The 21889-nt window shown below is 44.6% G+C and overlaps 1 long non-coding RNA gene across 1 annotated transcript; it reads right to left on the bottom strand.

Annotated features, from left to right (window-relative positions):
• Window positions 1–470: 470 nt before the first annotated feature.
• On the bottom strand, window positions 471–21630 carry LOC105372631 (uncharacterized). The gene is made up of 4 exons (NR_159957.1): window positions 21507–21630; window positions 19382–19607; window positions 1236–1455; window positions 471–808 (listed from the first exon to the last, which is right to left on the bottom strand). It is a non-coding gene; the product is annotated as an uncharacterized LOC105372631 (long non-coding RNA).

The raw sequence follows: 21889 nt of genomic DNA, 5'->3' as shown, positions 1-21889 counted from the left end.
GTAGCTTGGAGTGGCCATTAAGAGGTAGGTGTTGCAATGGGTTTTCTTCTTACAACTGGTAGGGCCCAGTCTGATGGCAGGAAAAGCGGTGATGCTGCTGTTCTGCAAAATATTGGGAAGATCACCCAATATTAAGGTTCTTAGTTGCAAACAACAGTATCCAATCCAGTTTGTTTAACTGGAAAATGAATGTTTTTAAATATTGTATAAGGCCAGAGAGACAAAGCCTGAAACTACACAGACAAGGAAAAATGTCCAACATCACAGGGAGCGAGGGGGATTCTTTCATGAAAACCCCCCCGCCACCACTACTTGGCAGAGCTGATGCTCAGAACTGGATGCCAGGAACTCCACCCCTGCCATCCCCAAGGAACCCAGTGGGGGGGTGGGGGGTGGAGGACGAAGGTGAGGATGCAGTGAGAATGAGGGCTACGGTGAGAGAGTCCTGGATTCAAACCCTCAGCCTGTCATCCGTGCTGGGCAGAGGAGATGTACTCATGCCCTCCTTTATTCATTCATTACGCAAATATTTACAGACTACCTCCTTTGTGCCAGGCACTGTCCTAAGTGCTGGGGGTAACGTGATGAAAAAACAAAGGAATGTGGTTTGTGTTCTCGTGGTGCTCAGTTGATCAAATCAATGCTGAAACAAGCCTGTGGGGAGAGGAAGGAGGCAGGGTTCTGCTGTGAAGGAGAAGGTTGAGGAGGAAGCAGAGAAGGTGCTGCACTATTTCAGAAAGCAGCCACAGGCCCTGTCTGGGGCATCCTCAGATGTCAGCATCTCAAGGCAGCACAGGTGACAGGCTCTCTGCAAAGAGAAAGGAATTTGTTAATTGTCGTTGCTGAAGCCCTTGACTTGGACACTGTGCAGCTGGCAGATCCTAGACCCTCCCAGAAATGAGCACCTCTGGTCCTCCCTGCAGTCAAGGCAACAGACAAGAAGGCAGTGAGTTTGCCAAGCCTGGAGGGGGGTGGCTCAGGAGCACTGCAGACTCACTCTGCAGGGTGGCTGCCTCAGTGTTCCCATCTGAAAAAGGGGAACAGGTAAGACGGCTCAGATTATTTCAGAGGTGCTTCTAGCAGTGACCTCCTGCCAAGCTGGCTTTTGGAAGATGTGTTAAGTCTGCGGTTTCACAGGACACGTCGCCACTTTCTCCTCGGAAGGCAGAGAGAGCCTCAGCATCAGAGGAGGGACACTGTGTAGGTGCGAGGGGTGTAGGACCTGTGAACTCTACCTCTTTGCCTCAGATCTTCCCTCCGGACCTGCTCCTCGCCTTAACCCATGCCCTGGGTTCCCGGCTCTCTTGTGTGGCAGATCCTGGCTCACTCCTGCTTCTCCAGGAAGTGGTTCTCCTTCCTTCTGCAGCGGCCATATCCAAAGATCTTGCAGATCCTGGAGCTGATGTTGAAGAAGGACCTGGAAGGAAGGCTCCAGGTAGAAGGCAGGTGGCGGGGCTCCAGAGACAAAGGAGGGTCAATAAGAAGATGGTCATCACAGCGGTCTACACAGCAAGCAGCAGAAACAACCGGCATGGCCAAGCATGGTGACTCACACCTGTAATCCGAACACTTTGGGAGGCCGAGGTGGGTGGATCACCTGAGGTCAGGAGTTCGAGACCAGCCTGACCAACATGGAGAAACCCTGCCTCTACTAAAAATACAAAAATTAACCAGGTATGGTGGCATGTGTCTGTAGTCCCAGCTACTCAGGAGGCTGAGGCAGGAGAATTGAAGGAGGCGGAGGTTGCAGTGAGCCGAGATCATGCTACTGCACTACAGCCTGGGCAACAGAGTGAGACTTCATCTCAAAAAAAAAAAAGGTAAAATATTTTTATGAATATTTGAGAATTTAAGTCTCTGCAATTATTCAATGTGTTCATTCAGCCACAGACTTCTTCACCTCTTTAGTAAACCATCAGGTAAACAGACGGAAAACAAAAACCTGGTGAAATGAGAAAACCTTTGCATTGATGTGGAAGTTGTTTTCTTGGTTTTCTTTTTAAAGCTAGAAATCACATTCTGGTAGACGATTAACACTTTAACTTGATCTTGAAGTCTGGAATGATTTGTATTCAGATTCAAAGCTCTTGGGCTGAGCAGGGCTGGGTTAGGGTGCAGAGAGCAAGGCAGGACTGTGCAGGTGCAAGGTTGGACCCTGTCTTTATTTTAAATGTTTATATTTTGTTCATGGACTTTTAAAATTAATTTTAATTTTTTAAACCATTGCATTTTAATATGATTTATCTTGATGGCTGAGGTTTTTGACTTCTTAAATTCTGTGTCCAAGACCTCATTCATCTCACCCTTGTCCGGAGGTGAAGCCCTGTCCCTTGGGGCTGGATGAATGAGCTGGATCTTTTGCTGAGAGCAGATATGATGGAGACCCAGAAGGAGGATAACACCAGAGCCCTGAGGAGGGAAGTGTGGGTGCCACAGAGTAGAAATCATTAGGAAAGGGAAGGCTGTGGTTCCTGAGGGCAGCCTCGCCTGCTGGGTAGCTCTACCTGGGGCTGCTACTCTTCCCTCTTCACCTTTTGATGAGCAAATCAATGAGTTCCTGTACATTTAGTCCTCTAAAGTAGGATGATTTATCTGTTTTCTTTGAGTTGTAGGAGTTGGAAATCTTTATTGTTTAATGCTTTTCTTTATTTTCTAAGTTTTCTATCATGAGCATATATTACTGCATTTAGGTATCAGGAAACAGCAAAGGAAAGACATTTAATTACTTATGTAAAGAACGGAATCATCTTCAACAGAGCAAAGCATTCTTACTATTCAACAGACCTGAGACAGACCGAGGGAACAACACATATACACAGGTCTTCAGTGTTTGCCTGGACTGGTGCAGTAGCCTACTCACTGGCCCTCTGTCTCCACCCTTGGTCCCCTACAGGCCACTCTCCACACTGCAGCCAGAGGGATCCTGTGACAATTTGAATCAGATCATGATGTTCCTGTGATTTCCCATCTCTCTTACAAAGCCTAAGTTTTTATACAGTCCTACAAGGCTTGCCCCCACAGCCTCTCTGACCATATCATCTTACACTCTCCCACCCCACCCACTCAGCCCCAGCCACACTGGCCTCATCGCTGCTGCTCAAACACATCAGGCACAGTCTTCCTGGGGCCTTTGCACTAACCGCGTCTTCTTCCTGCATTGCTCTTCTCCCAGCTGGTCACGATGCTCACTTACTTTCTACAGGTTCTGCTCTTTGACCGGTCTACATAAAAGAGCAGCACCTCCTTTACCCCCATTACTCCTTATCCCCTTCCACTATTTTGTCTTCAAAATGCTTGTCATGACTCACATATTATCTCCTTATTTTTCTATTGCCTGCCTCACCTAGAGGGTAGGGTCCTTTGCTGCTGTGTTTTGTTTACAGCTATGTGCTCATGGAGAACGATGCCTTGTAGGTACTTGGCAAATATTTGTCAAATGAATTAATCTGCTCATGCTCATTGATGGTGGGGATGGTGCTGCAGTCATTGAATAGAATGAGGATAATTAAGTTCCCTGGAAAAAAGTGTATTTGATCATCGGGCACCTCCTTGTTAGGAATCGAGTTCTAACATGTTATAAATGGTCTCGACATGGGAGGTCAGAAGAGGGAATGATTTTTTCCAACTAGGGGATCGAGAGAAGTTTCTCAGGGGTTGGACCTGGATATGAGCTTTGTAGCACAGTTGGATTGGGACTGGAAGAGAAGAGGGTAGAAAAGTGGACTAAGGGATCGGCACAAGCCAGGTACTTGGGGAATGTGGAGGACTTATGGCATGATTCTGAAACTGCCTTTGTGAAAATTATAACTGAGGAAATTATGACACTGAAAGAGATCAGACCTAACCAACTCTATCTTGCCTCTACCCTTTAAGCTGTCCTTGTTCATTCCTGGGTGTAGGCAGAACTAACCTTAGGAAGGAATTTAGTTTATGGTTTGACTGAAACAAAATTGACACTAGCCCTTTCCAAAACATACCTCCTTCTTACCTGGGTAACAGTCTGCCTTAATTAGCTACAAAATTAGAAATTACAGTTTAGGAATCATGCAGCAAGAGTTTGAACCTCCCCAAATTGCTCCTGGTGATAACATCACTATTGTAAAACCTAAGATCAGCGCTTGAGATATTTTGCAGACCCTGCACTTGATGGATCAGCTGACACCACCCAGACCAGTAATCTGGCTCAACCAGTTCTGCAATCCCACCCAGGAACAGAAGACAGCAAGAAAACCTCACTTCAATTCCCCTGTGATTCCATCTCCAACCTGACCAATCAGCACTCTCCACTTCCCGAGCCCCTACCCACCAAATTATCTTTAAAAATTCCAATCCCGGGATACTTGGGGAGACTGATTTGAGCAATCATAAAACTCCAGTCTCCCACACAGCTGGCTCTGCATGAATTACTCTTTCTCCATTGCAATTCCCCTGTCTTGAGAAATCAGCTCTGTCTAGGCAGTGGGCAAGGTGAACCCATTGGGCGATTACAATTCCTTCCAGTTGCAGCTATTGCAGGCTCCCAGGGCCTCTCCCTTCAACCCCCATCACTTCCTTCACCTTCCTTCTGGAATGGCCTCAGCCCATGAATGGAATGGCCTCAGCCCATGAAGATGGAAGGAGGGAGGAAGGCTGTGGGCACTGCAGGAGCAGAGGGCAATCAGAATGTGTAATTTAGAAAGTAGCCCAAGGACTGAGCAGAGGACCTCAGTTCCCCTACTCCTCCATCACCCTAGATGTCTTTTAAGAGATGGAGTCTTCCTTTGTTGCCCAGGATGGTGCCACCATGCCCAACCCTCACCTCACATGTGGTTCAACCCCAGAACCACAAAGCCAGAGATACCTTAGAAACTCAGCAAAGCCACAGGAAGTGAGGCTTATGGAGAGCAATGCCTTGTAGGTACTTGGCAAATATTTGTCAAATAAATTAATCTCCTGATGCTCACTGGTAGTGGGGGGTGCTGCAGTCATTGAATAGAATGTGGATAATTAAGTTCCTTAGAAAAATGTGTATTTGACCATGGGTCACCTCCTTATTAGGAATCTAGCTCTAACATGCAGCACTCTCATGCTATGAGATTCACCAGCCTGAAGACACTCAAAGATCTCGAGAGGATAATAGTTGAGACATAGGAAAGTGAGGGCCTGGAGTTATTACTAATATCTTGACAGCCTGGGAGAAGCACACCTTGGCCCTCGAGCAAACCTCCAGCAAACTCTCAGAATACAGAACAAGTTTCTTGCTTTCTGCCTACAGGTGCCTCAGGCAGTTAAGCTGTTCTAGATCCTTCTGATTAATTCTTAGAAGGGGGAAATAAAATAATGATTTCATATCGGATTTTCTTACTTGGAGGTAGGTAGACAAAGTCTTTGAGAATAAGACATTTTAGTAAAAAATGAGTAAAGAATCTGTGTGGCAGGCATCCCCACTGCACAGATGAGGAAATTAAGAATAAGTAACTTACTCAAGATCACACAGCTAGTAAGTGCTGGAGCCAGGACAAGCTACCATTAAGCCACAACTCAATCATTGAAGAATCTGGCTTCTATAGGGAATTCCTTTTTTTTTTTTTTTGGAGATGGAGTTTCACTTATGTCACCCAGGCTGGAGTGCAATGGCACGATCTTGGCTCACTGCAACCTCCGCCTCCTAGGTTCAAGCTATTCTCCTGCCTCAGTCTCCCAGGTAGCTGGGATTACAGGCATGCACCACTATGCCTGGCTAATTTTTATATTATCAGTAGAGACAGAGTTTCACCATGTTGGCCAGGCTGGTCTCAAACTCCTGACCTCAGTTGATCCACCTGCTTTGGCCTCCCAAAGTGCTGGGATTACAGCTGCGAGCCACCGCACCCAGCCAGAGAATTCTTAAAATGCAGATAACTGGTAAGGGTCTTGGGGAGGAGCTACCCAAACTCATTTCTCCCCTTAGCCACCAAAGAACAGGGATGAGTGAGTCTGGAGAGTTTTTTCCTAACACCAAATACATGGTATTGTCAGAGGCGTTTGAATCAGAGAGACTCCATCTTGAATAGGAGCTGGGTAAAATAAGGCTGAGACCTGCTGGGCTGCTTTCCCAGGAGGTTAGGCATTCTAAGTCACAGAGTGAGACAGGAGGTCGGTACAAGGTATAGGCCACAAAGACCTTGCTGATAAAATAGGTTGCAGTAAAGAAGCCTGCCAAAACCCACCAAAACTAAGATGGCAACAGAAGTGACCTCTAGTTATCCTCACTGCTCATGATATGCTAATTATAATGCATTAACATGCTAAAAGACACTCCCACCAGCACCATGACACTTTACAAATGCCATCATAATGTCAAGAAGTTACCCTATATGATCTAAGAAGGGGAAGAACCCTCAATTCCAGGAACTGCTGACCCCTTTCCCGTAAAACTCATGAATAATCCACCCCTTGTTTAGCAAATAATCAAGAAATAATGAAAAAAATAGCCAACCAGCAGCCCTTGGGGCTGTTCTGCCTATGGAGCAGCCACTCTTTTATTCCTTTACTTTCTTAATAAATTTGCTTTCACTTTACTCTATGGACTCACCCTGAATTCTTTCTTGCACGAGGTCCAAGAACCCTCTTTTGGGGTTTGGATTGGGACCTCTTTCCGGTAACAGTATCTTTTCCAACACCAACAAATTCTCCAACACCAACTAGGTGTTCACAAATTAATTCACTTCTGACACTCCTGAGTTAGAACTGTAAACCAAAAGTATCTGAAACAAGTCTCAATTTTGGAGTTTATTTTGCCAAGGTTAAGGACATGCCTGTGGCACAGTCTCAGGGGAGGCCCTGATGACGTGGGCCCAAGGTGGTCGGCCTATAACTTGATTTTATACATTTTAGGGGGACATAAGACATCAATCAATACATGTAAGATGTACAATGGTTGAGTTCAGAAAGATGGGAGGGGCTTCCAGATCACAGGTGGATTCAAAGATTTTTTGATTGGCAATTGGTTATTATCTAAAGATCTGGAATCAGTAGAAAGGAATGTCTGGGTTAGGTAAGGGGTTGTGGAGACCAAGGTTTCATCATGCAGATGAAGCCTCCACTTTAGCAGGCTTCAGAGAGAAGAGGTTGTAAATGCTTATCAGCTTAAGGTCTATGTTAGTGCTAATGTCCAATTCCCCCTTTCCATCATGGCCTAAACTAGTTTTACAGGTTAACCTTGGAACGCCTTTGGCCAAGAGGAGGGGTCCATTCAGATGGGTGGGGGCTTAGAATTTTATTTCTGGTTTACAGCACAGACCTCACAGGTTAAGGGCTCAGTCCCACAAGACCCTGCTCTCACTTCAGATACAAGCGCAAATTCCAGGGGTCACTCACACTTCTGACTGATTGGCTATACAAATTTTAGTGTTCCACAATCGCCCCTCAAGTTGGATAACTCACTAGAATGACTCTCAGAACTCAGGAAAGCATTTTGCTTACTGTTGTAAACCCAAAATAAAATTCTAAATCCCCCAACTGATGGAATGGAGCCCCTGTCTCAGCCAAGGAGATTCCAAAGAAACCTGGAAAACTAGTTCAGGCCATGATGGGAAGGGGGGATTGGACACGCCACGTTGCACTCCCCTCCCTTTGGAATTCAGGCACAACTGACCAGCAGTAACATTAAAACAGAGATCTTAAGACTAACAAAACAGATTAGCAATAGGATACCAAATTCCAGCCTCACTCTGGTGTAAGTACCACATGTCAGAGAGGCCCTGAAAGAAATCAAAGTATTTTACCCTAAAATATATTTTTTGACATATTTTTGAAATAGCCCTGCAAAACTGTCCCTTGTGGGGAAAATCTACATTCTGTAGAGAATCCCCTTCCCTTTCCAGGTTGTTTGCCTGATTCAGGTGAGAATTAACTAAGAGTCTGGCACTTTTTTAAGTCTGATAAGAAACATTTACCATCTATTGTCTCTGAAGCCTGCTACCTAGAGGCTTCATCTGCATAATAGGAACGCTGGTCTCTATGACTCCTTATCTTAATCCAGACACTCCCTTCTATGCCTTCTGTGGATTCCAGGTCTTTAAATAAACTCCCAACCAATTACCAATCAGAAAATATTTGAATCCACCTATGACCTGGAAGCGCCCCCACCCCATGCTTCCAGTTGTCCCATTTTCCTGGACCAAACCAATGTACATCTTACTTGTATTGATTGATGTCTTATGTCTCCCTAAGCTGTATAAAGCCAAGCTATAGCCTGATCACCTTGGGCACATGTTCTCAGGGTCTCTTGGGGCCGTGTCACAGGCCATTGGTCACTCATATTTGACTCAGAATAGATCTCTTCAAATATTTGACAGAGTTGGACTCTTTTTGTCAACATAAATGTGCACATGCCTGCGAACTGCCTGGGGATCTTCTTGAAATGCAGATTCTGATTCAGCAGGTCTGGGGGATGAGATGCTGTGTCTCCAACAGGTGCTCCCCCATGTCCATGGAAAGAGTTAAACTCTGTAAATATTTGAAGAGATTTATTCTGAGCCAAATATGAGTAACCATGGCCCATGACACAGCCCTCAGGAGATCCTGAGAATGTGTGCCCAACATGGTTGGGGTACAGCAAGACAGGAGACTTCAATCAAGTACATTTAAGAAATACGTTGGTTTGGTCCAGAAAGGTGGGACAACTGGAGTCGGAGGATGGAGCTTCCAGGTAGCAGGCTTCAGAGAGAATAGAATGTACATGATTCTTATTGGGCTTAAGGTCTCTGTTGATGTTAACACTGGAGAGTATAATGAGGCATGCCCGACCCCCACTTCCTGTCATGGCCTGAATCAGTCTTTCAGGTTAAATTTTAGGAGTGCCCTGGCCAAGGAGGAAGCTCATTTAGATGGTTGTGGTGCGGGGGTGGGGGATGAGGGGAGCTTAGAATTTTATTTTTGGTTTACATTCTCCCACTTCTGGCCAAGAATTGCCAGAGGCAACATCAATGGCCAGCAAATCTTCATTATGTCCCATAGTGTTTCTGGGATGCCATGGCGGCCTGCCCCTGGTCCATCTTGTCCCTCGATGGGATTCCCTATGGATAAGGGACCAAGAGTCAAAAGACTTACAGCTGGCTGGGCAAGGTGGCTCACGCCTGTAATCCCAGCACTTTGGGAGGCCGAGGTGGGTGGACCACGTAAGGTCAGGAGTTCGAGACCAGCCTGGCCAACATGGTGAAATCCCGTCTCTACTAAAAATACAAAAAATTAGCGAGGCATGGTGGCAGGTGCCTGTAATCCCAGCTACTTGGGAGGCTGAGGCAGGAAAATCGCCTGAACCCAGGAGGTGGAGGTTGCAGTGAGCCAAGATCACGCCATTGCACTCCAGCCTAGGTGACAAGAGCAAAACTCCGTCTTAAAAAAAAAAAAAAAAAAAGGAGACTTACAGCCAATCAAATGTTACAGGCCAGATGGAAATGGACATGGACAGGCATTCATTACTCTTTAAAATTATTATTGCTATTTTAAGTAAAAAGCTAACAAACAAAAAGGCAAAAACTAACTTGTCTTTAACTCCTATGTATTCAGCTACTGTAAACTTGGTTTTAATTACAGACTTACAGCAATTAGCTATACAAAAACATAAGCATTGCTCTGTAAAAGATTTATATATATATATATATATATATATATATATATATATATATATATATGTATATATATCTTTACAACTTATAACTGGGAATATTATACCCAGGAGGCTTTGTCACAAGGCATCTTTATCCTGTCAGTAAATATTTTAATTCTACATGAAGCAGAAAATTGTTTATTGTTGGGGTGGATGCAAAAGTGATACATAATAGCTTAGAAGACAAAGTCCCTTGTTTTACCAGCTGTTTAGGCATCTTTGTACCCTTCCTTGATTTGGAGGGTCTGACCTTGACCTAACTCTATCCCTCAAAACTGGCCCTTACAATCTCACGCACCCGCCTCTTCCATGACAGTCACTGGACCTAGAGGGAGGATGCTTGTATAGTTTTAGCAGCAGGGCATCTGCAGTGAAAAACAGATCCGGCCCAGTGAGATGACAAATGAGGGAGATTGACATCTCTGGTGTTCAGAATACCATGATTTGGGCTTCCTTGAAAGTAAAACAAGGAGAGATAATAACATTAATGTTTTGACAATCAAAGGGTATTTGTGGGCCGGTGGCTCACGTCTGTAATTCCAGCACTTCAGGAGGCCGAGGCAGGTGGATCACTTGAGGTCAGGAGTTCAAGACCAGCCTGGCCAACATGGTGAAACCCTGTCTCTACTAAAAATACAAAAATTAGCTGGACATGGTGGCAGGCATCTGTAATCCCAGCTACTTGGGAGGCTGAGGCAGGAGAATCGCTTGAACCCAAGAGGCGGAGGTTGCAGAGAGCCGAGATCGCACCATTGCACTCCAGCCTGGGCAACAAGAGCAAAACTCCATCTGAAAAAAAAAAAAAAAGAACCTATTCCATCCATTAGGGCACCAACTAAAGATATGAAGAAAAATTATAATCTGGTACTCTCCAGAGGATTATTGTAGCCAAGAAATAATGCATGATTCAATCTGCACTCAAAAAAAAATTGAGGGCTAAAATCTAGTATCAAATGTTACACTTTTCCTTTGAAACAATTTCTCTTTCTCTAGCCCCTTTTTATCTATTAAAGAGAAATTACAGTAAGACTAATTTGTGTGCAAAGTGAGTTTTAGTCTTATATACTTGACCTGATTATTGCATAAAATGCAGCAGGGAATGATTGGCTATATAGGCCCCTTTTTAGTTGCTTTGCTGGAACTTTACCTGAAAACATGCTATAGCTAATTTTTGTACAATACCCATTTTCATAAGATATTTAGGTAAAGGGGTTGCAAGTACCTTACATAAAGCCTTTTTAAACATCTTAAATTTCATAATTCTATTAACCTGTATGTTTTATGTTCTGGTCCTAGGAACTTTTTTTTCCTACCTCCAGACCATTTTACCTTTTCTGGTTCCCAGCAGGGAGTGGCATCTGTAAGACCCATGACGGATGACAAGTTGAGAAGCCTTCTCAAACAGTTGTATGATTCTGTGGGAGGGGCACCCATGTAAAAGGGGCCCCCTAAACCCCCAGATTTACCATGACCTGGGTAATAGGCATATTCAGTGGGAGGATATCCCCGTCATCATACAGCCAGTCCCACACGGCTCTCATATTTATCTGAATAAACGCCACTGTAAGATCTGTTTGCCTTGAGAAGGGAACTGCCCAACTCTCCCTGTAAAATGCCAAGTGGAGCCCCCCCGATGAAGCGGTTGATATGCTTCTCATAATTCCGGAGAATTCCTGAGAACTCTCGAGAATAAGCTCCTGTGCGTTTAGCTCACATACACTCATCAGTGATCGCCCTATAGGGAACTGTGGGTCCTGCATCAACTCAAACGAGCTCTTAAATTTTGTAGCATTTAAAATTAAGGATTTTTGTCTTTAAAGTAGTGATTTTTACAATAAATTACCCAAAAGGCTTCTCAAGAAGCTGATGATACCAATATACAAAATGGAACAATTCCTTTATATTATTCCTTGTAGCTATAGTAGGTACTTGGTTTTGCCCTTCCCCCACATCGACTGTCTTCTTGGTAACCACAGGTCTCAGAGTTAACTTGGATGTAGGAATTGGAGGAAGCCAGAGGGGTAGCGGGAAATCAGGCATGAAGAGCCCCAGGCCTCACCTGCGCCCCTCTCTCTTGAGCCCAGGATTAATTTCAGACAGCAGAGACCGAACCCCCTTTGCCTATCATATCCCTGGGAGCCACCACTGAATCAGCCACCACTGCACTTGGAAAGGGTAGGACTCATGCCAAAGATGGGACACCATGCCGACATTATCTTGAGGCCCAAGCCTACATTATCTTGTGGCAGAGACAAGACCACCACAGTTTCATGGTCCCACGCAACATGGCACCTGGTGAGCCCCAGAAAGGCACCACACATAGAGCTTCAGAAGCTGCCATTCCCACGTCTGACCACGCGGGGGCGACGAACCCTCAGATTGGGCCGCGCCCTTAGGCGGAGCTGCCCTGATCCCAGACCCAGGGGAGCCGTGAAAACCCACTGGGCGTCCCAGGGCAGCGCTGCCCTGAGAGCTGCAAACCGAAAGTATCTGCCCCCGGGCCAGAGCGCTCGGGGCCTGGTCGTGTTACGCAGCTGGAAAGCTTGGACCCTTCGGCGGCGTGGGATAAGGCGAGTTTGCCGGCAGAGCCAGCAGCTCGCCCCCGCCTGAAATTCCAATTCGCAGGGACGGGGATGGTGACACCTGAGGCAATTCCTCGGCTACAAAGCATCATGTCTCATCTTCTTGAGCCAGTTTCTTCTTCTGTAAAAGGGAAATGGTACTGGCATTCATAAGATTTTGCAGGATCAAAGCAGAAAATCATTAGGAAAACACTTTGCAAACTGTAGAGAACATTGCAAATGTTATATATCAGGGTTTTTAAGAAAACTTTTAAATATTCTCTATTTGGAGAAAGAGGTAGGAAAATTCTGGAGATATAGTAACGAACAAAATGTACCATATGTCTGGCAAAATCTGTACCAGGTATCTGGCAAAATCTGTCCCTGTGTTTCTTTTTGAAATTGACTTGAATTTTATTTCCATTCTTAGCTGTTTAATATTTTGCTTAATTTTGAAATTGCTCATTCTTCATGCTACAGCCAGTGTGATCTTTTAAAGAAGGAAATATGATCTACAACTACATGTAATGAACGGATGAACATCATAAACATAGCGTTGAGTTAAAAACCCAGATAGAAAACAGCACCTGCTGGATGACCGCGTTTACATGGAAAGTACAAAAACAGGCAAATAGTTGGAAGTCAAGATAGTGGTTACTCTAGGGGAATGAGTGGAAGGGGTGCTTTTAGGATGCTGGTAATGTTCTATAAAATTCACTGGGTTATACATTTCTGCACTTTTTTCTGGATACATTATATCACACCTCAGTGAAAAGTAAATACTGTATGGGGGAAGGAAGTGAATGAAGCTGATCGTGTCTCCACCCGCCTAAAAGCGTTCAGTAGATTCTGATTCTTGTGAATGTGAAATCTGTCCTCCTTTACCAGGTCCACCTGGTGCCCCTGGCTTCATCACCAATGGGCTTACCATGGCCACACGGGTCCTCTTTCAGGCCCTTGTGTCACTCTCTCCCATGCTGACCAGCTCTGGCCACAAAGCTGCCTCTTCCATCACTGGGAGCTCTTCCCCACCTCGGAGCTGTTCCCGTCACCTGGATTGTCTTCCCTCCACATTCCTGCCACCTCCTTCTGCTCAGCCTAAAGGTCACTTTCTCACAGAAGCTGTCCCTGAGCCTCAATCTAAATTGCATCCCCACAAGGACACAAAGATGTGAGCAATAAACACTAAGGATTCCAGAAGGGGGGATGGAGGAGAGCAAAAGTTGAAAAACTACCTGTTGGGTACTATATTCACTGCTTGGGCGACGGGATCGTTGGAAGCCCAAACCTCAGCATCATGCAATACACCCGTGCAACAAACCTGCACACGTACTTTCTGAATCTAAAAGAATTTCTAAAATAAAATAAATTGTACCCCCTTAGTTCTTTCTGAGCACCCTCTTTTTATCTTCATAACACCATCATTTGTATTTATGGAATGATTATGCATCATTATTTGGTAAATGACCTCACCAGCTAGACTCTAAATCAAAAAGGGCTGGGGCTGTATCTGACATATTCTCAGTTGTATCAGCAGCACCTAGCACGGCATCTAACATAAATGATACTTATTTGTGGTTTGGCTTAATACAAAAAAAAAAAAAAAAACTTTGGGAGGGGAGGGAATTCAATCAACAGACAAAAAATAATGCTATGTAGGGGAAAGAGAAACAAAATGTTCACAGGTATTGTATTAGTGTTGTAAGAACATGGGCGTTCTTTTTCTTTCTTTAATATCACCTATTTAATCTCTTATGTTCTTTTTATGATTAAGAAAATAAAAAACCTTACAAATATTTTTGTACTATTTAAAATTAAGTTTTCATTTAAAACATAGACTTCTGGGTGTATTAGTCCATTCTCCCACTGCTATAAAGAACTACCTGACACCAGGAGTGGTGGCTCACGCCTGTAATCTCAGCGCTTTGGGAGGCCGAGGAGGGCAGATCACCTGAGGTCGGGTGTTCGAGACCAGCCTGACCAACATGGAAAAACCCCACATCTACTAAAAATACAAAATTAGCTGGGTGTGGTGGCACATGCCTGTAATCCCAGCTACTCTGGAGGCTGAAGCAAGAGAATCACTTGAGCCCGGGAGTTAGAGGTTGCAGTGAGCTGAGATCGCGCCATTACACTTCAGCCTGAGCAACAAGAGTGAAACTGTGTCTCAAAAAAAAACACAAAAAAACAAAACAAACAAACAAAAAATGGCCGGGTGCAGTGGCTCATGCCTGTAATCCCAGCACTTTGGGAGACCGGGGCGGGCGGATCACCTGAGGTCGGGAGTTCAAGATCAGCCTGACCAACATGGAGAAACCCTGTCTCTACTAAAAAAAAAAATACAAAACTAGCCAGGGTGGTGGTGCATGCCTGTAATCCCAGCTACTTGGGAGGGTGAGGCAGGAGAATCGCTTGAACCCGGGAGGCGGAGGTTGCGGTGAGCTGAGATCGCGCCATTGCACTCCAGCCTGGGCAACAACAGCAAAACTCCGTCTCAAAAAAAAAACAACTACCCGAGACTGGGTAATTTATAAAGAAGAGGTTTAATTGGCTCACGGTTCTGCCAGCTGTACAGGTAGCATAGCTGGGGAGGCCTCAAGAAACTTTCAATCATGGTGGAAGGCAAAGGGGAAGCAGACATGTCTTACATGGCAGGAGTGGGCGAAAGAGAGAGGGGGGAGGTGCCACACACTTTTAAACAACCAAGTATCATGAGATCTCACTATCAGGAGAACAGAAAGGGGGAAATCCACCCCCATGATCCAACCAGCTCCCACCAGGCCCCACCTCCAATATTGGGGATTACAATTTGACATGAGATTTGGGTGGCAACACAAATCCAAACCATATCACTGAGTAAAGTGCAGATGGCAGGATAGTTTCACAATAGAATGTTCATTCTCTGGTTTCTATTGAATTGGATAGGAGAAAAAAAAAAAACAGGTAAAAAAAAAAAAATCAGCAGCAGTAAACCACCATGGGAAACAGTAGAACCTCATTCCATAAACTTCAAAAAGCAGTAGCAACAGAAAAATATAGAATATCTTGATGTGTTTCGTCATGGTCCTATCCCCAACTGCTCTGTTCCAGAAGAGGTGCAGGAGAAAGAGGAAATAATACAAAAGTCCTGAAAATTCTCACCAGTTGTTCCAGTGAGTTGCCTACCAGGATCCATACTTAGTGGCACAAAACAACAACTCTTTTCTGATGCACGTGGATTCTGTAGGTCTGGAATTCAGGCGGGGCTTAGTTGGGGAATTCTTTTGCTCCTTGTGGCCATGTCTGAGGTCATTCTGTGGTACCCAGCTGGGCTGGGCTGGGCTGGAGGACCCAGGATGGCTTCAATCACATGTCTAGGGCCTTGGCAGAAAGGCTAAACTAAAAGGCTAAACTCAGCTGGAACTGTTGGCCGGTGTCCACTGCATGTGTTCTTTTCAGCAGTGGCCTCTGGGTAGTCAGACTTTTCACATGGACATCAGCATCACCCAGAGCCAGCATCCCAAGAGTGCAAGATGGAAGGACAGCCTTTTTTGACCTAGCCTCAGAAATCACACAGTATCTCTTCCACTGCATTCTACTGATCATGATGGAGTCGGCAAGGTCAGCCCAGATTCAAAAAGGGGATTGACCCCAATTCTCAATGGGACAAGTGCCAGAAAAATTGCAGACATGTTTTTAAACTGAGACAGATTAGTTAAAATTTTCCTATATGTAAAATATAACTTCCTCCAAGACCCGTCCCCACCTACCCCCACTGCCCTACTTCCCACTAAAAAAAAAAAAAAAAAAAAAAAAAAAAAAAATCTTGGCCAGATGCAGTGGTTCATGACTGTAATCCCAGCACTTTGGGAGACTGAGGTGGGAGGAACACTTGTATCCAGGAGTTCGAGACCAGCCTGGGCAACATAGCAAGACCCTATCTCTATAAAAAATAAAAAATTAGCCAATCACGGTGCCACAAACCTGTAGTAGTCCCAGCTACTCAAAAGGCTGAGGTGGGAGGATTGCTTGAGCCTGGAAAGTCAAAACTGCAGTGAGCCGTGATCACACCACTACACTCCAGCCTGGGTGACAGAGTGAGTTTGTCTTAAAACCAAACAAACAAACAAACAAACAAACAAACACCTCATCCTATTTTGACATCAAACTCAGCTCCAATTTCTGGAGCTTATCTACATCAAGTCCAGCTGCAAAGAGGCGTCTTGGGTTCTGTTCCGTGGGTAGAGTTTCTCTCCATCTGAAAACCTGTGAACTAAAGAGACATGTTTTCTGCCTCACATGCACCCAACCTGCAATGGCGAGATTGGCACAGGAAACCACTATGTTCACTACCGTTTTAAAAGGGGAAGTTCAGAGCAATCACTGAGCCCCGGCAATTCTGAAATTGAATTGTGCACCTGTTGCCAGAGGTTCTTGGCTCCACTCTGACTCACACTTCCTTTTCCATAAGAAATGGCTCTTGCTTGCAACTGAGTAGCCTTCTTGTCCTGTGTCTTAACAGAATACCTGAAACTGGGTAATTTATTAAAAACCAAATTTATTTCTTACAGTTCTGTAGGCTGGGAAGCCCAAGGTCAAGGGGATGCACCTGGTGAAAGCCTTCTTGTTGTGGGGACCCTCTGCAGAGTCCTGAGGCAGTTCAGGACATCACATGGTGAGGGGGCTGAGCATGCTAAACTATGTGTTTTCCTCTTATAAAGTCACCAGTCCCACTCCTATGATAATCCATTAATCCATTTATCTGTGAATGGATTAATCCATTCATGACCCAATCACCTCTTAAAGACCCCACCTCTCAGTACTGCCACATTAGGGATTAAATTTTAATATGAGTTTTGGGGAGGAGTGTTAGAGAACTGCATGCAAAAAGTCAAGATGCATCCCCAGAAAATTCAAGTCCCACCCAAGCTCTTGGGGTCTCCACAGAGATAAAAAGCCCACCAAGGTTTGCCATTCCCCAAGGCTCAAATTTCTAATTGGTTGGCTGATCCAAAGCTCCAGGGAAACTTTCTCAAAAATGGAATAACACGTCACTAGAGGAAGCCAACTGTGGTTCCAGGAATTTAAGAAAATCTCCAGAGAGCAGAGCCCAGGCTGCCCATCATAGTCAAGAGACATCTCCAATAGCATTCCTTTCTTCCCTCAACCCCATGACTTTAGGCTCCACAGAAGTGTATAGAGGCAAACTTCAGACTGCAATTTGGGGGGTAGGGATGGAAATAACAATAGATCTCAGATATGGTGAGAAGGAAACCAAAGAGAATATACTGACACCAATTAGAATAAGCGAAAGGACAGGGCAGAGTTGCCCAAACTGAGCCTGACGAAGATGAAGGGAAATGACAGAGTAGCTATGCACCATACTACATACAGTTATAAGGAAGAAAGAAAATAAAGCAGGGAGGGAGGGAAGAAAGGAAAAAAAGAAGAAAATTAAAAAGGAAAGGACGCTGGAGAAAAGAAACAGACACAGATAACTGAATTCAGCAGAAAATCTGATAAAAGGAAAAATTTATAGGAGGGCTTTCAGCTTAAAAAACAAAAACTTTAATAAAATAAGACATTAGGCTGGGTTCAGTGGTTCAGTGTTCACACCTGTAATCCCAGTGCTTTGGGAGGCCAAGGTGGGAGGATTGCTTGAGGCTAGGTGTTGAAGACCACCCTGGACAACATAACAAGATTTCATTTCTAAAAATAAATAAATAAATAAATAAATATTTTAAAATAAATAAAAATTTAAAAGACCCTTAAAAATGAGTGTTAAAGAAATAAATTGAAGATCTAGGTAACACCACTAAAAAAACTGCAAATAAATTGAAAATCTCAAGGAAGAAACAAGTCAGAGCTACAAATCAAATTACTAGCATAGAATAAAAGTTGGGGATAGTAAGTACCAATAGCCTGGGCCAGGTGCGGTGGCTCACACCTATAATGTCAGCACTTTGGTTGGCTGAGGTGGGTAAATCACTTGAGGTCAGGAGTTTGAGACCAGCCTGGTTAACGTGGTGAAACCCCGCCTCTACTAAAAATACAAAAATTAGCCAGGCATGGTGGTGCGTGCCTGTCATCCCAGCTACTCGGGAGGCTGAGGTGAGAGAATCACTTGAACCCAGGAGGCAGAGGTTGCAGTGAGCCAAGATTGCACCACTGCACTCCAGCCTGGGCGACAGAGACTCCATCTTAAATAAATAAATAAATAAATAAATCTCAATAGCCTAGAAAGAGGAAAAAAAAAGTCAAATTATTTTTTAAAATATTACCCCATAAAATTGTCCTTCAGGTATTAAGAAAATATGCAAAAATTCAGGGAAAACAATATCCATAAACTCTTCATTTTTGTAGAATTATTTTTGTTAATCAATCTAACAAAATGTTGATGAGGTTATCCTGAAGTTACTGATAGTTGCTTTATATGGTAGAGCATCAATGTCCAATATGGTAGCCACTGACCACATGCAACTATTGAGCACATGAGTTATGGCTAATATTAGTTGTTATATGCTATAAATGTTTAAAGTACACATCAGATTTCAAAGACTTAATATAAAGAAAAGTAAAATATTGCATTAGTTTTTATTTCATATTAATTATATATTGAAATGATATATATACTGTACTCAAATAAACTATCATCAAATTAATTTTACCTGTTTTTCCTTTCTTTTTTTTTTTTTTTTGAGACAGGGTCTCCTTCCCTGTCACCCAGGCTGGAGTGCAGTGGCACAATCTCAGCCCACTATTAGCCTCAACTTCCCGAGCTCAGGTGATCCTGCCCACCTCAGCCTCCCAAAGTGCTGGGATTACAGGCTGAGCCACTGTGCCTGGCCCCTCTTTTTACTTTTTAAAAAAGCTACTAGGAAATTGAAAATTCGATTTGTGGCTTGTATTATATTTCTGTTGCACAGCACCATAGTAGACTTTGGGGAGAGATTTCGCTTGTTTGTACTATTTAGTTTAGTTTGATCTTTTAAATAAGTATGGTTATTCATATAAAACAATACACTCATTATTCCTAAATTGAATAAATAAACCAATGGACAAAGAGCTATGCTTTCTCCCCTGGGATGTTGAGACAACTAGCTGGGAGGCTCTGGATGGGAACCAATAACAAAAGAATGGAGAACAGCTGTTCATTGTCCAGCCCACTCCCTTTACAGATAGGAAAACTGAGACCCCAAAGGTCACTTACCACTCTAAAATCTCATGGACTCAAGTGTGCAGTAGATGAGGCTGAAGACTGGCATTTCAGCTGAGGCAGGAATACTGACTTAGGGGACATTCTCAGTAGCTCCCAGGAGCCCCTCCAAGGTGTGTAGCACCACCTCCAGACAAGGAGTCCACTTCATCCCGGCTCATACCTCTTGCCCAGAGTGCTTCCTCTTCCAAGAAATCAAAAACAAGATATTTCCTTTGTCCTGTGGAAACAGGGACTCTTCTTTTTCTGCAGGTATAAGTTCCAGCCTCCCAGCCCTGGCTCATGGAGCTCAGCCCTTGGCACCATGGAGCTCAGCAGCTTCTGTGCCCTGCCTTGCCATCTGCCTGGTGGGCATGACCAGCTCAGAAAAGACCTCAAGTGAGCTGAAGTGCTATTGGGAAAGAGGACCCTGAGACCCATAGCCTATGGGACAGGGCTGGCTCCAACAGGCTACCCGGTCACTTTCACCTCAGCGGGAGTCCAAGGCCCAGATATTGAAAGGGCTCACCTGTGGTCACCCTTCAGTCTGGGGGAAGACCTGGGGCCAGACCTCCCAGATGCCTATTTGATTTAATTAAGTCTTCATCAAATTATTATTTTATTATTATTATTATTCAAGATGGAGTCTCACTCTGTCGCCCAGGCTGGAGTGCAGTGGCCTGATCTCGGCTCACTGCAACCTCCACTTCCTGGGTTCAAGTGATTCTCCTGCCTCAGCCTCCCGAGTAGCTGGGACTATAGGCACCCGCCACCACGCCTGGCTAATTTTTGTATTTTTAGTAGAAGCGGGGTTTCACCATGTTGGCTAGGCTGGTCTCGAACTCCTGACCTCAAATGATCCACCCACCTCGGCTTCCCAAAGTGCTGGGAGTGGTGTGAGCCACGACGCCCGGCCCAAATTTTTACTTTTATTATAAACTCAACATATACTTTTGTTTTAAAAAGACAAACAATACATAAATTGTTATAAAGTTAAAAGTGAGTTCTCTGTTTTACACAATCTTATTCTGAAAAGTATCCATTGTTAGAATGCTTAGGAGAGACAGTAAGTTTTCATACTACTTTAAAAATAAGACCAAGTTCTTAAGCTTGGCTACACATTGGTGTCACTTGGAGACTCTGTGAGTCCCACATTAAATTCTGATTTAACTGGTTTGGGTAAAGCCTGGGCATCAGGATTTTTTCAGTTCCCCAGGTGAATGTAGCGTGCTAGGATAGCAATTTGAAATAGGGTATGGCCAGGGAAAACCTCACTGATAATAGTGGAGGTGGTGAAAAGGGGTGGGATTCTGGATTTATTTTGAAGGTAGGGTGCAAACAGGATGAGAGAGAGACAAGGATGACTCAAAGGTATTTGGCCTGAGTGCCTGGAAAGACACGAATTACCTTTTACAGAGATGAGGTGACTATGGTTGGGCCTGTTTGGGGTGGGGTGGAGCACATCAGAAGCTCGGTTTTGGAGATATTCAATTTGAGATGTCTTTAGACATCCAAATGGAGAAAGCAAGTAGGCAGTTGGGTAAATGAATCCAAGATCCAGGGAGGAGGTCTGATCTAGAAATATGTGGGTGTTGCCAGAGCGTAGGTTACATGTGGCATGGTAGTGGAGGTCGTTTCTAGGTACTGACAGGGCTGCGGGTATAAAAGAGAGCCAGGCCACAGCTCTGTGCTCTTCTGACTTGGCAGACACCCCATGCTATGCATGCTCCATCCCACACTAGGCACACTACACAGACCACTTAGCTTTGTGTATCCACTCACCTGCGTTCCTGTCTCATTTACAGTCTGCTCCTTTACTGCTTTTGAAGTAAACTCAAGTAAAAGCACCTTGAACAAATTGCCTTTGCCCATGGTCTAGACTAGCTCACCGCCTTTCCTTCCTACATATGCACACATACCACCCGCATGTGCTGAGGGCTCCTAAAACCCTTCAAGGAACCTACACAGCCCATCTATGCTGGCTACAGAGACACCTGTACCACTGTGTTAAGACTGCTGCACTCACACATGTGGAGCTTCCAGAGTGCCCCTTGCCCATCCCTATCTTGGATCCCAGATCTCAAGCCAGAATAGCCCATACCCAGTTAATACATTTAGCGTTTGCTGATTGAGCACTTACATGTCCTGAGATGGGTCAGGTCTTAATGAAAGACAGAACCTGTGCCTCCAGGAAGCACACCATCTGGTGGAAGTCAAAGGACAGCAGCCAGCTGATAAGGAACACGTGTTAAGTCCAAGGCAATCTGGAAGCAAAGGCGTGGGGCACGGACACGTCAAGGGAAACTTCCCGGAGGCAGCAACTTCTCATCTGGGGTGTGTGTGTGTGTGTGTGTGTTTGAGACAGAGTCTCACTCTGTCACCAGGCTGGAGTACAGTGGCGCAATCTTGGCTCACTGCAACCTCTGCCTCCCAGGTTCAAGCGATTCTCCTGCCTCAGCCTACCGAGTAGCTGGGACTACAGGCGCGCGCCACTATGCCCAGCTAATTTTTTTTTGTATTTTT

This window comes from Homo sapiens, chromosome 20 (assembly GCF_000001405.40).
Source record: "Homo sapiens chromosome 20, GRCh38.p14 Primary Assembly".
Lineage (NCBI taxonomy): Eukaryota > Metazoa > Chordata > Mammalia > Primates > Hominidae > Homo > Homo sapiens.
The sequence above is the reverse complement of the archived record's forward strand: the minus strand, read 5'-3'. Positions and strand labels throughout refer to the sequence as shown.